The 17,494-nt window shown below is 51.1% G+C and overlaps 1 protein-coding gene across 13 annotated transcripts in view, besides 2 other annotated features; it reads right to left on the bottom strand.

Moving 5' to 3' along the window:
- The window catches only part of MYO18B (myosin XVIIIB), a 321,660-nt gene that overhangs the window by 279,777 nt on the left and 24,389 nt on the right, over positions 1-17,494 (bottom strand). For all 13 annotated transcript variants that reach the window (XM_011530461.3, XM_011530458.3, XM_017029014.2 and 10 more), the window contains 7 exons: positions 14,643-15,956; positions 13,895-13,961; positions 13,087-13,199; positions 11,561-11,737; positions 6,290-6,488; positions 3,873-4,015; positions 2,237-2,337 (listed from right to left, as the gene is read on the bottom strand). In XM_011530461.3, coding sequence (XP_011528763.1) covers positions 2,237-2,337; positions 3,873-4,015; positions 6,290-6,488; positions 11,561-11,737; positions 13,087-13,199; positions 13,895-13,961; positions 14,643-15,956 — 2,114 coding nt within the window. The remainder of the gene's footprint in view (positions 1-2,236; positions 2,338-3,872; positions 4,016-6,289; positions 6,489-11,560; positions 11,738-13,086; positions 13,200-13,894; positions 13,962-14,642; positions 15,957-17,494) is intronic.
- Positions 5,951-6,451: an enhancer, noted in NCBI's record as "H3K4me1 hESC enhancer chr22:26173587-26174087 (GRCh37/hg19 assembly coordinates)". NCBI's record gives its function as "activates a minimal SCP1, AML or CMV promoter by ChIP-STARR-seq in primed H9 embryonic stem cells {active_cell/tissue: H9 hESC(primed)}" and the evidence as "EXISTENCE:reporter gene assay evidence [ECO:0000049][PMID:30033119]".
- Positions 6,452-6,952: an enhancer, noted in NCBI's record as "H3K4me1 hESC enhancer chr22:26173086-26173586 (GRCh37/hg19 assembly coordinates)". NCBI's record gives its function as "activates a minimal SCP1, AML or CMV promoter by ChIP-STARR-seq in primed H9 embryonic stem cells {active_cell/tissue: H9 hESC(primed)}" and the evidence as "EXISTENCE:reporter gene assay evidence [ECO:0000049][PMID:30033119]".

Below are 17,494 nucleotides of genomic sequence, written 5' to 3'. Positions count from 1 at the left end.
TAAAAAAGGGATCTGGAGTAGGGTTTTGAAGGATGAATAGGAGTTTCCCACATGAGTGCATGGGAGAAAGGACATTTGTGCAAGTGAGAACCCGTTTTTGACCTTTGGAAGCTTCCATATGGGTGACGGACCAAGTTGGCAGCAGCAGAGGTAGAGAAAGGGAAGTAATTGGGGGATCACCAATGAGGCTTCAGAATGACAATGACTCCCTGAGGGGGCTGAGTTGCTCCAAGCACTTTACTCACTCTCTTAGGGTCCCTGAAACTCATCTGGGCCACCTCTTCCTCTCAGAGGCAGCTTTGGCCCAGCTCCTAAGGATGCCAAACTCAATAAGGATGCCACCAGCATGGAGGGCCCCTGGCCTAGGCCTGGCTTGGAATGAACGTCTGGCATCCTCTGCTAGCCACAGTTGAGCCTCATCCTTCCTGGGCCCACCCCAGGGTAAGCCTCCAAATCCCCCTCTCCAGGAGGCAATGCTTCTATCCCCAGAGCCAAGCCCCACCCATGGGGTACAGAAGAGAGAGCCCCAGTGTGGAACTCCAGGGCTGGAACAAGGGTGATGTGTGTGTCTGAGAGATGTTCTGAGAGGTGAGAAAATGGAGGTCCCAAGAGGTGAGGCCACGGGGCTGAAAGTGGGATTCCTATGTTCAGGGCCCACCTACCTACTCCTTCCCACATTACACCATTACTATGCACCGCACATGGCCCCTGCTGCCTTGACATGCGATCTCATTTAAATGCCTACGGGGTTGGCACTAGTAGGAACCCATTTTACAGGAGGAGAAACCAAGGCTCAGAGAAGCCCATGTGGGGCAAAGCCCAGATCAAACCCATGTCTCTCTGAATCCAAAGTCATTTCTTTGGATGACCTGGTCAGGGCCTGGTCAGGGCCTGTCAGGGGTATCAAGGCAGATCAAATCCTCCAAAAACAAGAACACACACACACAAAGCATTTGCTATGTCCGGGCACTATTTTAAGAAGTATTGTCTGCCTGATCATATTTTAATCCTCACCACAACACTGGGATACAGTCACATCTATTTTTGTAGATAAGGAAAGTCAGGCTCAGAGAGGTGAAGTCATTAGCTCAAGGTCACACAGCCAACAAGTGGAGAAGCCAACATACAAATCCACACAGCCTTGTCCTCGAGTCTGTGGTACCTGTCACTCTGCTATACCACCCCACTCCAAGTTCTTCTACAGATTCTCAAGATCTTCTAGAAGTTTCCCTGCTGCTCAGTTACAATCACTCTAAAAACTGGGAGTTCCCTCTCTACTCTGCCTTCTCTCTGCAGGTTACAGCTGTCCCTCCAGCCTTAGCCAGGACACTCCAGACAGGTTGAGGCTGTCCTTCAGATGGGGAGGGAAGGTTGGGGAACAAACAATGGTGAGGTTAGAGCACAGTAACCACAAATTATCACCCCTCATGTGGGAAAACCCACTTTTTCCTCTCCCCGACACTTCACTAGGACCATGCCCATCCATCCAACAGAGGAGGAAACCAAGGCTCTGGGAGAGGAAGCCACATGAGCCACATGCCTAAGGATGCCCTGTAGATTTGGGGAAGGGCAGAGATGGCTTTTTAGGCCACCTCCTCCAGGAGGCCCTCCAAGATGAGGCTTGCCTGACTACCCAGCTCACTGCTCCACTCAGCTCCAGGTCCATCCTGAGGAACCTCATGTAGGCATACCCTACCATACACCCAAAGCTCCCACAAAAGTTTAGAAACTTCTGGAAGACATGGGGGTCTGCTGTCCCTCTCCCTCTTCCCATACCGCTGCCAGGGCCAGTACTGACATGCCACTATCACAGCAGACAGCCTTGACTCCCAGCATTTATAAAGAGCTGAATGTAAATTATCTCTCTTAATCCTATAAGGTCTATGCAAGGTGTTGTTTCCACATTACAAAGGAAGAAACCGAGGCTCAGGGTGGATGACATGTGACCTATAAAGAGCTGAATGTAAATTATCTCTCTTAATCCTATAAGGTCTATGCAAGGTGTTGTTTCCACATTACAAAGGAAGAAACCGCGGCTCAGGGTGGATGACATGTGACCAAAGTCACCCAGCCCATGAGCTGCGTGTACCCAGACAGCTGGAATCGGACGCCATGTTCCTAATCCCTGGGTCCCACGGCCTCTCAGTGCTGGGCAGAAGCTAAGGCTGGGCCCCCAAAGAACATGTGCCCTTTGTCGCACTGCCCTCAGCTGTCTCTTCCTGCCCCAAGTGCTCACCTGAGATCCAAGTCCAATCCAGCCAGCATCTGGGAGAAAACCAGGAAGTTACTTTCCCCTTCCGGCTGCCGTGCCACGCGGCTCTTCTCCAAAAGCATTGTCTGCAGGGAGAGAAGAGGGGCACCCAGTCAGTGCTTTGGGTACATCTGCACATGCCTGAAGTGCAGCTACCCAGAAGCCCCATTGGGGTGCCCCACTCTGATCCACTCTTTTTTTTTTTTTTTTGAGACGGAGTCTCGCTCTGTTGCCCAGGCTGGAGTGCGGTGGCGTGATCTCGGCTCACTGCAAGCTCCGCCTCCCAGCTTCACGCTATTCTCCTGCCTCAGCCTCCCGAGTAGCTGGGACCACAGGCGCCCACCACCACGCCCGGCTAATTTTTTTGTTTTTTTAGTAGAGACGGGGTTTCACCGCATTAGCCAGGATAGTGTCAATCTCCTGACCTCATGATCCACCCGTCTCAGCCTCCCAAAGTGCTGGGATTACAGGCGTGAGCCACCACGCCCAGCCTCTGATCCACTCTTCGAGACAACATCTCAGGTCCAAATTAATTTTGCTGGCAACCTCCACGTCAGAACTTCTCAATCCTTTGTCTCACTAATTCAGAGTCCACCTAGGAAATTAACTAATGCAATAGATTCATTTCAATTAAGGTATCAAAGGTAATAACAATCAAATGAGGCCACCTTCCAACATATTCCCTTTTTAATAGAAGCCTTTAATACCTTAACCCAAATAGTGATTAAGGGTAGGATTTCAGGGCCAGGACAGAAAAGGGACTTATTTGGCATGAAGGGGTTTTCCTTGAGTCTGGATATTATACCAGCTCCATGTTACAAACAACCCTTCTAATAACCTAATCCTATTTTCTGTTCAAACAGGATGTTTGAGGGAGACGGGGAGGAGTATGGGTGATTTTGGAGATAGGAACAAACAGGCCATGTGTTCGTCACACGCGGACTGCTGCAGAAGGCTGGCAAGCGTCTGTTTAATTTCAACTTGCGCTTTTAAGACCCGGCTAATGACAGCCTGAATTCTCTATTTGCTCATGAATATTTCATCCGCCTGAAAGTCTGAAGCACAGACGGGCTGGCTTGCTCCAGAAGGGGACGTTCCAGGGCACCTAGCGAGGTGGGGAGCAACTGGCCCCAGCTAGGGGATCCATGACCATTTCATTATTTTATTATTATTATTACTATTTTCTTTCTTTCTTTTTTTTTTTTTTTTTTTTTTTTTTTTTTTTTTTTGAGATGGAGTTTCGCTCTTGCTGCCCAGGCTGGAGTGCAGTGGCACAATCTCGGCTCACTACAACCTCCGCCTCCTGGGTTCAAGGGATTCTCCTGCCTCAGCCTCCCGAGTAGCTGAGATTACAGGCACCTGCCACCACACTTGGCTAATTTTTGCATCTTAGTAGAGACGGGGTTTTACCATGTTGGTCAGGCTGGTCTCAAACCCCAGACCTCAGGTGATCCACCCACCTCAGCCTCCCAAAGTGCTGGGATTACAGGCCTGAGCCACCGCCATGACCATTTCAGACACATCCTAGAGTCCCAGCTGGAGGCGTGGGCTCTGCTGAGTCCCGGGGTTAGAGACACAGCAGCCCCAAGGGCCCCCTTGCACATCCCCCGAGAGGCCTCACCTGGAGCTGAGCAGCTGTGATGCGGCCTGTAGCGTTGAAGTCCAGCGACATCACCATGGAGAACCGGGTGGCACTGCGGCTGTGGGCCATGGACACAGAGCCGAAGGCCCGGAGGACAGTGAAGGTGGCTCGGATCTTCTCCACTGTTGGGGGCAGCATGGGGCCACATGTCACTGATGGCCCAGGTGCTGCCACTGCCACCTCACACAGGTCCACCTTTTCCACGGCCCCTGCTTGGGCCAGTCCCCATCCTGGCCTCAGCCCCCGGTGGGCTTCCTGTGAGCTTCCTGCCACCCACTCCCTGCCCAACCCAACTATAAACCACATACATTTCACTGAGCACCGATTGCTGGGCTGAACCTGTACTACCAGCTCTAGTGTAGGGGAAACAAGACTCAATCTAGAAGGGCCAGGGCTAGGCACAATCTGGGTAACAGAGGCTGCCCTAGGGCTTCCCAGACCTAATGGAGCCTAGGAAGAGGTGAGGATAACATTCTAGGGCCTGCACTCACAGCTTAGAGGCAGGCTTGCAAAATCCTATAATCTCCCCACTACTATTCATTGCATACCTACAATGCAACAAGCACTGTGCTAAGCACCTCGATACAGCCTGACCTGACTTCCACCCTCAGACACATGCGATTCACAGCACAACTACATTGTGAGAGACTGTGCCTCTTCCCACTGTATCTCTAGCTTTTAGCATGAGCCAGATGTAGAGTAGGTGTTCAGCAAAACACTGGAATAACCCCAGTGGAGAAGCAGTATAGCCCAGCAGTTAAAAGAGATTGAGGATCTGCCCTTTCCTGGTTACCTGATTTGGGGCAAATTAATTAACTAGTTAATTCATTAATAATTAACTAATTAAATCTAGTCCTCATGTGGCTGTCATGAGGACCAAAAGATTTAATAATGTCACATGCTTAGAAAATATTCCAAAAGTGGAACTGTTATTATAGTTATTATTATTAGAAACACAATATTCCCTGCATCATATATTCTCAGTGGGGAGGATATTGCCCCTGAGAAGAGCAAAAACTGATTCTTAGAAGTGGTGGTAAAAAAAATTTTACTCTTTTTATGTATAAAGCACAAATACACATAAAGGAATATATAGCTTATCTGTGGTATTAACATTTCATCATAGGGGAAATGATTAAGGGGAATAAATGTCTTAAAAGGCTTTTCAGAGTGTGCAATAATGAAAAAAAGCTGAGAACACTGCCACAATGGTTAGAGTTCTACAGCCAGTAGGCCTGGGTTTGAATCTCAGCGCTAGGAGTATTTGCTGTGTGACATCAGGCAAGCTAGTTAACGTCTCTGAATCTCAATGCCTTCAATCTATAAAATATAAAATAATAATACCTACCTTATAGGGCTGTTTTAGATTAAAAAAAAAAAAGTTCAGGTTGGGCACAGTGACTCACACCTATAATCCCAGCACTTTTGAAGGCCAAGGTGGGTGGATCACTTGAGCCCAGGAGTTCTAAACCAGCCTGGACAACATGGTGAAGCCCCATCTCTACAAAAAAATACAAAAAATAAAAATAAAATAGCCAAGGGTGGTGGCGTGTACCTGTAGTCCCAGCTACTCAGGAGGCTGAGGTGGGAGGATCACTTAAGCCTTGGAGGTCAAGGCTGCAGTAAGCTGGGATCACACCACTGCACTCCAGCCTGGGTGAGAGAGTGAGACCCCGTCTCAATAATAATAATAATAATAAAGTTAGTATCCTTAGAATAGGGCCTGGTACATTAGGCTTCAGCAAGCATTTACTCTGATGGTTATTAATATTGTAGTTGTTATTATTAATTGGTACTCTTTTTTAAGGCCCAGATCAAATATCACATCCTAAAAAAAGCCCTCCTGCAGCCCTCCTCTGCGCTCCCTGAGTTTCTTCCCTAGCCTGCCCTGCCAGCACTTTTTGAAGAACATTCAAGTTTTGAACGTAGGTACAGTTCAATTTCCTCTCTGGCTATTAGCTTCTCATGAGTGTAGACTCTGCCCTTGAAGCTTCACTCTTCGAGTCCTCTGTTCAGTTCCGCAAGTTGTGCACTGCCCAAAGACACCACATCCCAGGGGTGCATCATTCACATCACACTCTCCTAGATTTGTGTACGTCTATTAGGACGATTTCCCAGCAGATGGCAGTCAAGTATCCGGTTCTAACAATGTCCATGTATGATGATTGTTCTGCAAACGGCCGTCAATGTCTTGAGGAAGGAGTACCTTATTCTAATTTCAACAAATGCATCCCAATGACCTAGGGATAGCCCTGCCCAGTAGCAAGCATGGGGTCTGCACATATCTGGTGCTCAGTGAATGCTAGCTGAATGAATATAAGAAAGCAGCTCAGCATCCCCTTCCAACTCTCCCCGTGCTGACCCCAACTCTCCATGTCACCTAGAGACCACCATACCTGAGACCCTGCCATCCACACTGCCTGCCATCCCCACCAGGTGTTCCAGGACCTGCTCACAGCAGGTGGTCTTCCCAGCGCCACTCCAGCCCAGGGCCACAATGCTCTGGTCTCTCCGCTGGTTCAGCAGCGCCCAGTATGCCCGCTGTGCCATGGAGCCAATGTGGGCAGGCAGGCCATCCCGGCGGCCCTTGGGCACCTGCAGGAAGATCACAGGTATCAGCCATCCCATCCAGCCACTGCCTAGGGAGCATTCTAAGACAGCGCCCCGCCCCAGGCCTAGGGTCCAGATCTGTGTCCCTGCCTCCAGATCTGCCTCCAGATCCCTGACTCCCTTCCTACTCGACTAGGAGGAGCCAAGCCTGTATGTCTAGTCCTGCCCCTGGCTCCCTGTGAGTCCTTGGACAACCCATGCCTGTTTTCTGAACCTAGTTCTCCTCTTTAGTTAGAGGCTTGAATGAGAGCTGCATTCATCCATGAGATTCATCTCACTGGTTACTCAAAGCATCGAATGGTATCTGCCTGAAGCGAGGCAGCTGGATCGATAGCATAATTATCCATTACGATTAGTGATGTCTGCTATGGACACAGGGAATGGCACATGGGGGAGTTAGTGGTATGTGTGCTATATATTTGCCATAACAGATTTAGGTGATAACTAAAACCGTATCTGCTTCATCCATTCATTCATACTTCATTCAGTAAAATAATCCATTGAGTGTCTACTATGCAGCAGGCACTCGGGCACAGCATAACACAAAATGGATAAAGGAAATTCCAGCCAATCGCAAAGAGATACCATTAAATGCCTATTACAATGGCTGAAAAAAACATTTAACAGTCACTACCAAGTTTTGGTGAAGATGAGGAGCAACTGGAATTCTCATACAATGCCAATGGGAATGCTGAATGATACAGCCTCTATGGAAAACAGCCTGGCAGTTTCTTCTACAGTGAGATACACACTCATTACCCCTCTCCACAACCCCACAACCCCTCTCTAGGTGTTTACCCTAAAGAAATCAAAATGTATGTTCACAAAAAACCCCTCTATGTCATTGGTTATATTGACTATATATTCAAAATCACCAAAAACTAAAAACAACACAAATGTCCTTCAACTAGTGAACTAGGATAATCACCCAACCTGTTGTTTTTTTGTTTTTGTTTTTGTTTTTTGTTTTGAGACAGAGTTTTGCTCTTGTTGCCCAGGCTGGAGTACAATGGCACGATCTCAGCTCACTGCAACCTCCACCTCCCAGGTTCAAGCGAATCTCCCGCCTCAGCCTTCTGAGTAGCTGGGATTAAGGCGTGCACCACCATGCCTGGCTAATTTTTGTATTTTTAGTAGAAATGGGGTTTCACCATGTTAGCCAGGCTTGTCTCAAACTCCTGACCTCAAGTGATCCGCCAGCCTCGGCCTCCCAAATTGCTATCCTGGTTTTGGCATTGAAAGTCTCATGTCCCAGAAAACGTTTTAGTCCCAGGAAAACCAGGACAAGAGGTCACCCTATGAACAAATAAGCACAGTAGTGCATCAATGAAATAAAATAAAGGAACAAACTGTAGATAAATAAAACCACATGGGTGAATCTCCAATGCATTGTGCTGCCTGGAAGAAGCCAATTCAAAAGGTTACATACCATACAATGCCATTTATATGGGTTTTTTAAGGTAAAACTATAGGGACAAAAAAACAGATCAGTGGCTACCAGGGGTAGAACTTGGGGCTGAGTTGACCACAGGGGGCCCAGAGAACTTTTGGGGGTGACGGGAACTGTCATGTAATTGATTGTCAAAGCAGTTATACAACTATACACCTTTGTCAAAAATGCTCAGAACTGTACACTAAAAAGGTGCATTGGACTATAATGTAAGCCTGATTTTTTTTTTTTTTAAGTCCCTGCTTGGTGGAGCTTGCCTTCTGGTGGGAAGACAGAGATGATCGATGAAAGAAATTAATTCAATTACAGTGAACGGGAGGCGTTTGAAAGCCACAAGCCTGGATGAGATCACCAAGGAAGAGTGTGAGAACAGAGCATCCTGACAGGGACAGGTCAGGGAGACCACAAGGAAGACTGACTGGGCGGCCAGTGGGCGGGAATGAAAACCAGGAAAGCGGAGTCTTAGAGCCGAGGAAGGGTGTGTTTCCAGGAAGAGGGAGGGAAATGCTGCTGAGTTCAGTAAGAGACCAGAGACTTGACATTGGATTTGGCAGCGAGGGAAGAGGGCAGGAGGTTACTGTGAGGTCAGCAGGAGGGCACCAAAAGGAAAAGAGGAATGGGCCCTGCTGCAGGAGGATGTCTGAAGCCCAAGATGCTGAGGGTGTCCACTGGGTCCGGCAAGGCCCCATCTGCCCTCCCTAGCGCAGTCCTTTGGCCGAACTAGGGGCACAAACCCTGGTGTGATGGCCCTCCCCTCAGCCTAGATGTCTAGCTTGGGGCTGGGGCTGTCTCCAATCCACTGTTGGCTCTTCCTGCTCCAAGCCCCTGAGGAACAGTCATGAGTCCCTATCCTGATGCCAGATGTAGGGCTCAGCAGGAACCTAATGCAGGCAAAGGAGGGATATGCCCCCACACTGGCTGGACACAGCCTTAGGGCTTAAGGCAGTCAGAGGGTCCTGGGGTCTCAGTCCTAGAGCCATCCCCCAGTCTGGGAAAACTAAAGTTCAATGAACGGGCAGTCCTGTCCATCAGCCTGCTCAGGCCCACTGCCTAGGGGGAGAAGGAAGAATTCTGCACATCCAGGTTCCTGAAGGCCCTCCTATATGCATGCATGCACACATGCCTTTGCATCTGTGTACATGTGCCCTTGCACGCATGCACAGAAGTGTGCTTGTAGGCACATGCACGCAACAGTTGCGGCGGGCTCTGCACACAGAGATGGGATCCACCTCTACCCACGGGGTCGCACCCATGCTCAAACTCACCCTCTTATTCACCTAGACCTCCATGTCCCCAGGCACACACCCAGACCCCAGCTGCCTGGTGGGGCTAGCCCCATAGTGAGAGAGTCCCCCGGTGTGTCCAGACCCCACCCAGCCCATCCTCGAGGTGGTCTCAGCCTCACCGCAGGCCTGTGCTCCCACCTGGTGGCCATTTGGGGAATCAGAGGTTGATCCGGCCTAAGGACAGGAGGTGGCTGTGGGTTTGAGTGTGGGAGGCTGGAAGACTTGAGGGAAGGGTGCGGACCAGTGCCGCACCCCACCCCAGGGTTAGGAAGGGAAGTAGGGGGATCTACCTTCAGAGTGCGTACCAATGCCTGCATCTTTTGGCGCTTTTGCCTAAGTTCTGATGCCTCAATCCAGGATGGCCAATGAGGACCTGATTGCTATCTGGGTCTATAAAAATGTCCCTTCCAGGGATTTCCAGGGAGCCGGAGGAGTCCCTCGGCAATGTGGACAGCTCAGAGGCCTTGGGCTGCAGCAACAGAAGCCTAAGCACTCACCACAAGGACGGGAGAGGGCACGTGCCAAGCTCTGGCCCACCCAGAGCTTCTGAGGTCCTCCCAGGCCCTTGACCATGGACAGCGGTGGTGGGAGAGCCCCTGGGAGTGACTGAAGGTGTGGTGTGGGTCACTCTGGAGGAGAAAAATCTTGGAGAGAGGGGTACAGGCCCACTATATCCCCTTTAATGGATTTAGCATTGCCTCAGGGACTAGGGATGGATTTGTCCCACAGGGCCCCAAAGGGCAAGATGTGTTTTCACCCCCAGTTGGCAGAGGAGAACATGGAAACCAGAAGAGGTATCATGATCTTTCCTAGACACCAGGTGTCCTAGGGGCTTCTGACTTCCCAGTGAGTCTCCAGAAGAGCACACAGGTAAGATGTCTCACCTCCGACAGGCCTCCCTGCCTCCACTGAGCCTCTTCCCATCTGTCCTCCACCCAGCAGCCAAAGGCATCCTTTTACAACCTAAGTCACAGCATGTCATTGCTCTGCTAAAAACCCCAGTAGGGACTCTCTCTAAGCCTACTCTGGCTCAGGAGGCTGCCCAGTTCATAAAAAATAGATACAAATCGGCCAGGCGCAGTGGCTCATGCCTGTAATCCCAGCACTTTGGGAGGCCGAGGCGGGCGGATCACGAGCTCAGGAGATCGAGCCCATCCTGGCTAACACGGTGAAACCCCATCTCTACTAAAAATACAAAAAATTAGCTGGGCGTGGTGGCGGGTGCCTGTAGTCCCAGCTACTCGGGGGGCTGAGGCAGGAGAATGGCGTGAACCCGGGAGGCGGCGCTTGCAGTGAGCCGAGATCGTGCCACTGCACTCCAGCCTGGGCGACACAGAGAGACTCCGTCTCAAAAGTAAATAAATAAATAAATACCCATAGTAGCTGCCATCCCACTCAGAGTGAAAGCCAGAATCATCACCCTGAGAACTGACACGGCTCTGTCCTGGTTTTTCCCAACCTCTCCCACCTCTTCCTCCACTCATCTGCTCGGGCCACTCTTATCTTTATTGTTGATGGACTGTCTTTTCTTCCTAGAACAGCAACTCCACAAGGGGAGGGTTGCTCGCCTGGCACCTTCCCTGATGTTCTTTGTGCGTGGCCCGGTAGGAGACCCTCAATCAATAGCTCAATCACTATGGGTTGAAGGAATGAAGGGGCCCACGCTTCAATGACTCGGCTGAGGTGCCTCGTGCGTCCACAAGGTGGCGCTTAGAGATTTCCTTTGCTCTTGCCCATCTCAACAAAAATTGGCCGTTTCTACACTTCCGAGGAAAAAAACTAAAGTACAACTGAAGCTTCTGTTTCCCCGTTGATGTGGGTGCTCAGGACTCCTGAGAGTTCAGCATGGGATGAAGAGCACACAGGAGCCCTGTATCCTGGGTTTTCTCCCAGCAACTCTGCTCGCTAGACCTGAGAGTTTAGCCTGCGCCTGGCCCAGCCGGCTCTTCTCATCTGTAAAATGGGCTAATCACAGTACCTGTGTTTTCAGGTGGATATGTGAGACTCAACTGAGTTAATACAAGAAGGTGCATACAGCAGTGTCTGGTAGAGTTCACACTCATTCAGTATTTTCTTTCGTTACTCTTGTGATATTTAATGCTGCTGTTTCTGTCCTAATGGTGACTGATCTTTCCCTCCAGGGAATGGGGGAATCTCATGGTCCATGCCACAGGATGCCACAATGCCGCGAGAAGGATGCTGCTTGCAGACAGGTCGACTGGGGGCTCTGATGGTTCTACTGTCACCTCAGATGCAGAGGGATCCCCCCAGGCCCCCCTGCCCTCAGCCCCTCAGCCCTGCCCACAATGGTCCCACCTCACCTTCCCTGCAGAAGGCACCGAGGGCCCCCGGGGCTGGAGGACAATCAGATCAGGCCCTGTGCAGGTGTGCAGCAGCTGAGCTTTGTAGCGCTGCAGAAGCGTGTTCAGGACACTGGATTCGTTGACACTGATGAGAGAGGCCAGGTCCTCGACCTGGTCCAGCTCAGGAGGGTTGGCCTGTGAAACCATCACACAGAGTCTCCTCTGGCCTTCTGGCCTTCTGGCCCCCTGCCCCCACCCCACCCCCCCGCAACCAAACACACACTAAGCCCTCCTCTTGAGAGCTATGTGCCAAAGACCAGAACAGAGCACAGGGACTCTGGATGGAAAGCAATGAAGCCCTACAAATAAAATAGGGCCATCCCTTCTCCTTGCCCTCTGTGCAACCTATGAGGCACCCCCTCTTCGCTGTGGTCCTGCACTCCATGCACCATGAGGGGAGACGCTCCCAAGGCAGACTTGACAAAATTCAAAACACTTTCTGGATCTCAAACACCACAAAAAGACAGGTGATGCTCCAGTGTGTGCGAGCATCCGCTGCCATTTCCTCCTCTTCTGGGTCTTACGAGGAAGCTCTCAATATGCTCCATGATACCCAGGAGTGGAGGCCAATGGCCAAACCACCTCACTGGTCTCATAGCCCATCATGCATTGATTCCTAGGAAACCACCCAAACCCTTAGAAGCAAGGGTTATGTGAAGCTGCTTCTTAAAACATCTGTTCTAAGAGGCGTCCTATTATTCTCTCCAGCTTCAGTGAGTTTTCTGAACCTGGTAGTCTCAGGTTTGGGCCAAGCTTGAGCCCTCTCATGGATCAGCCTTTCTTGCAAGGCCACTGAGCCTCTGTAAATGCCCAACGCGGGAGAGAAAGCCTGAGGTGGGCAGAGGAGGAGCAGAAAGGAATGCAGATGAGCAAGGAGGAAAACTCCTAAGATAGCAGGCTGTGAGGGGCGGGGGGAAAGGGCATGACAGAACCTTTCTTTTCTATCACTACACTGGGACTTGTCCTCAAAAGGATTTATGGTGCACAACAAAAATGTATTCAAAGCAATTTAAAGAGCAAAGCTGAAAGAAAGTTTGATGCCAAAATATAGGCCATTAGAACCTATGCTATGGTTAATGGCAAGCAGCAAATTTGGCTCTGAGTTCCCTGGCGGCCAGAGTGAAAACAGAAACATGCTGTGTAGTATGATTTGCAATATCCAATATCTATAAATTAAAAGCAGTCATTTTCTTGGGTCCATCAGAAGAACTCCCAGGGCCAAGACCTGACAAACATGTTCTTTGATGTGTCCTCATTAAGGGAAACCACAGGAAAGGGTGAATGACCCCCTAATAGTACCCCTCCAGTAGAGCAATGAGTTCAGTGGGGTTCTTCACTATAACTCCCTCCAGGGCATCAAGCCAAAATGGTATTGGTAGTCAGGAACAAGGAAATCTCTTGCAGGACTGGGGAAGGAGGGTATGGAGCTGGGGTGAAGTGGGACAGGGGACTCATGCTGGGGGACGGCGGGACAGGGGACTCACCCGATGGACATGCTCCTCATCCACCTCAGTGATGGTTTTGTCAGCATCAATCCAAAGTCTCACCCTTCCTGCTGGCAGGTCTGCTGTTCCCTCATCTGGCTTTAGCACCGTAGCTGGTTGGACATCCCAGAGAGAGAAGGGGAACGGGGAGGAGATGGGAGGGGAAGAGGGGAAAGAGGCGAGGGCAGGAGATAAGAGAGGCTCTAAGCCGGGCCAGCAAGCTTGGGAGAAGGCTTGGGACAGGTCTCCATTTGGGGTCTATTCACTTGGAGCTGAGTTGTGACCCCAAATCCTTTAAGGTCAGGCTAAGTCTGACTCACCTTAGGCTTTTACCAGCTGTCACAGTGCCAGGCACAGAGCAGGCACCCAGACAGTTGGGTACACTGGCCTATCTCACACACAGACTGCCATTTCCCCCTCCAGTGCCCATGGCAGACATCACTAATCAACCACTCTTCCCAGCCATGTTCAGACTGAGACTCAGCATCACTTCTCAGTAGAGTGCAGTGATCAGCCACAACCAATCGACAAAAGTAGGCTCATGAGATCAAATCTATTGGCCCACTTGTACCAGACTCTGGCTTCCTCGAAGAACGCCGTAGGAAGAAAGCATGCTTGTTGCATTAGTGAGTTACAGTAGGTAAATAACTCATTATCAAGACACAAATGCCTTTGAAAGACAGTCTCCACTGCTCCTCTTCCCTCCTGACCACCAAAGTATAATCAGGACCTGGAACATATGGCTGGCAGCAGTAGGGGGCACAGGAGAAGACTCAGACCCTCCAAAGGTGCTAACACCCCTACTTACCAAGAGTAAATCCATCCTTCTGAGCCAGCCAGACTTTCTCTGCCTCATACCATCTGTCCTCAGGAGCCTGAGAACCAACATCACGTAAATTAAACCAGCAAATGGCACCGCTGCCCATCTTCTACCTTACACGGGGGTTTCTCACAGTGTGCTCTGGAGCCATCTAAACCAGAATCTCCTGGGGGAGAACAGGAGAGGGAGTGTGCTTATTTAAATGCAGATTCCCGTTGCGGACCCGGGAGGTGGAGCCGAGATCACACCACTGCACCATCTAGCCTGGGTGACAGAGCAAGACTCCGTCTCAAAAAAAAAAAAAATACTACATAAATGCAGATTCCTGGGCCCCACTCCTGGCCTTTGAAATGAGAGACTCCATGGCTGGCCCCAGGAATCTGCATTTTTAACAATCTACTCGTTATGCCATCCCGTTTGAAAGCTGTCGTGTGACATCATAAGCAAGCTCTACCATGTCAGCCGTGAGGAGACACCTCACACTTTGGGGACCTTCCCTCACTCTGTGGGGAATTCCCACCCCAGGGCAGGTGCAATGGAAACTTCAAGACTTCTGCTCATGGAGGAAGTGCTCGTCCCCTCCTCTGGGTGCCTTGCAGTTCCAGCCACCCCTCTCCAATTCCCTGCCCACCCCCCGTCCACCCCTTGTCCATCCCTGGGGCAGATCTTTCCCATCCCTGCATCTCTGGAGAGGCCTGTCTGCCGCTTCCCGCTCCCAGGGCCGCAGCCCCCTCACCTGGTCTGAGTCTCTGCTCTGGCCTCCTTTGCCCTCCTCCTGCGGGGCTGGCCCGTCTTGGTTCTCCTTCCGTATCCGAGGCCTTTCTGCATCCTTCTCCAGAGCAGGCTGGCTGGGTCCTTCCAGCTCTGTCTCCAGGGCACCAGCCCCATCACCTGCTCTTGAGCAGGGCTCCTCTGCTTCCTGCCCACGGCTTCCTGGCCAGCCTCCCTTCCCAGGAGCTGCTGGCGACTCCACCATTGTGCTCACCTCCTTTGGGGCTTCACAGCCCTTCTCTGTCTGACTCCGAGCTTCACCTGCGTTCCCGGACTTACCCTGGGGTTGCCCCATCTTTTCCTTCTTATCCCAGGACTCACCTGCCTTCCCAGTCGTGCTCCGAAGCTCACCTGCTTTCTCCCCCATTCTCAGATCGTCCCCCAACTCGCCCTGCACTTGGCTTGTCTTCTCCATCTGGGTCTGAGGCTCACCTGTCTTCTCTGCCTTACTTAAGAGCACCCCTTCTTTGTCCTTCTTATTCTGGGGACCGTCCCACTTACTCCTTCTTCCCAGGAAACCTCCCCACTTTCTCCCAGGGATTTGGGGCCTTACGTGCTTCCCTTCACTCCCTACGTCCTTAGAGACATTCCCCTTTTCCACCGTGTTTGTGGGCTCTGCTCCCTCCTTCTCTGCTTTCCCTGGTCGCACCCCCTCGCCGGGCCCTTGGGCTTGGGGCCTGGTCCCCTGCCTGTCTTTGCCCTGGGGCTCAGCCTCTTTCAGCTCTGTGGTCTTGGGGGTCCCAAGCCCCTTCCCCACTATGCTTTGACCCTCCTCGCCTTTTTTCAGTGCCACAGTTCCTTGGCCTGGGTCCCCAAGACCCCCAGTCCGGGTCTTCTCAGCTTTCGGGGCCAAGATCTCGGTGCTGGCCTGGGAGCCACAAGGAGTCCTAGAGGTCTCCCCTTTCTTTTCCTTTCCAGTATCTGTGGCGGGGGGAGAGGTCTTGCAAGGGGGGGCGTCATGGGGATGAGTCTTCTCTGGCTTGGCTGAGTCCGGGTCCAGCTTGGCCACCATCAACAACACATCACCCCTCCTCACGCCCCTCTTGAAGGGGACAGTCTTTTTGGTTGGTGTCGCACTGGAGCCCAGCTCCTGGGCCTTCTCACCATTGATGCTTGTCATCTGCTCAGGGTCGGGGCTGCGGGACCCCTCGCTCTCCTTGCCCAGAATGTCTGAGCTCCCAGGAGAGCTTGACTGGTCGTCCTGAGAGATCTGCTGGCTTCCAGATCTGGTGCCACTGCTGGACTTGCTGTTGGGTTGGCTGATGGAAATTTCTGGGATCTGGGAGAAAGAACACAACCATGCCTACATAGCTGCTTGCTGACCTGACAGCTTTGTCATTCACTCGTGTTCGTTCATTCATTTCATTGTTCACTTCTCCATTCATCCTTCCACAGATGCTCGAGCACCTCCAAATCCAACAGGCATGGCCAAGCCTAGCACCCTTGACCTTGGCCTAGCCCCTCAAAGTTGAGTGATGGAGTGGAAGGAGTGGACTTTGGAGCCCAACAGAACCAAGTTCAACTCCTGACTCTGACACTCTATAGCTGTGTGACCTTAGCTAAATGACTTCTCCTCTCTGAGTCTGTTTTTTAATCAATAAAATGAGAATGATAAAAGCCTACCTTGCAGGGTAGGTGTGAGAATGTGTGACAATATGTAGAAACTGAGCCCAGCGCATAGTGTGTCCTCAACAACAGTAGCTGCTGCTACTACTGTTGTTATTTCTGCCTGGATTTTTCCTAGGCGAGTAGGGGATCCAGGAAAGGACTCAGGGCCTGTCACTAGAGGACCTGTTCTCACCTTGGCTCTAACACTCTCCAGCTAGGCTTCCTTCTATGTCTATCTGGGCTACCATCTCTTCTCTCTGGGCTTCGGGTTTCCCCAGTACAGGCAGATACCACCTGACCATCCAGATCTTTTATAGGATGAGATGTAGAAATGCACTTTGGAGATCAGAGAGAGAAGAATAAACCGAGCTGCTGCTACTTCCACTGCCCTGATCCCCATATCACACTTCCCATACCAGCTGAGGGCCCTGGTTTCTGCCCCTGGGGTCCCCCACTCTTGCCTGACCCAGACATTTGTGACTGCATAACACCCAAGGGGTTTCCACTGCCTGCTCCCTTCCCAGGCCTTGTTACTGCCTTGTGATTTTAGCCTTGTGCAGAGCTTCATCCTCAAACCAGCCTGGCTATGGCCTGAAGAGCTCACAGGTCCAGCTGTGCCTCCATCTCTGCAGAAAAAGACCTCAACCTCATAAGCAAGTTCTACCCTGATGTCTCGCTTCACCACCAGCCCTAGCCTGGGTTCTTCCATCTTGGACAATGCCAGCACAGCCTCACAGACACCCATGCCTGGGAATCTGGGATTCTCCCCCTCCTCTTGCATTCAAACCAGTCCCAGGGGCATGTTGATTCCACCCTGCCAAGCTTCACATCTATGTCTCTTTTTCCAAACTCATGTCCGCTATCCCTCACTTGGGCCATTGCCACAGCCCGTGAACTGCTGTCCCTTCAATTTGCTGCCAGCCATTTTATACCAGATCAAAAGATTTGGGTAGCTGCCCACAGCCTAAAGGAAAATCATTTGGCACCACCATTGGTCTTTCAAATTCCTCAACAAGGAACCCCAGCCTCCAATCTGACCATATTGTCCCTACTTGTTCCCATGCATGAACTGTACTGGTCACCTTCTCCTACCTGACCAGTCCCTGCTTCCAGGCTGTTGCCCATGCTGAGCTTGCTGCCTGGCGTGCCCTTTCCCCTCTTCACTTGTCCATGGTCTACTCATCTTCTATACCCAGCTCAAATATCTCT

The sequence above is a fragment of the Homo sapiens genome, chromosome 22 (genome assembly GCF_000001405.40).
Source record: "Homo sapiens chromosome 22, GRCh38.p14 Primary Assembly".
Classification (NCBI taxonomy): Eukaryota; Metazoa; Chordata; class Mammalia; order Primates; family Hominidae; genus Homo; species Homo sapiens.
Note: the sequence above shows the minus strand (reverse complement) of the source record. Positions and strands in the feature narration are given on the sequence as shown.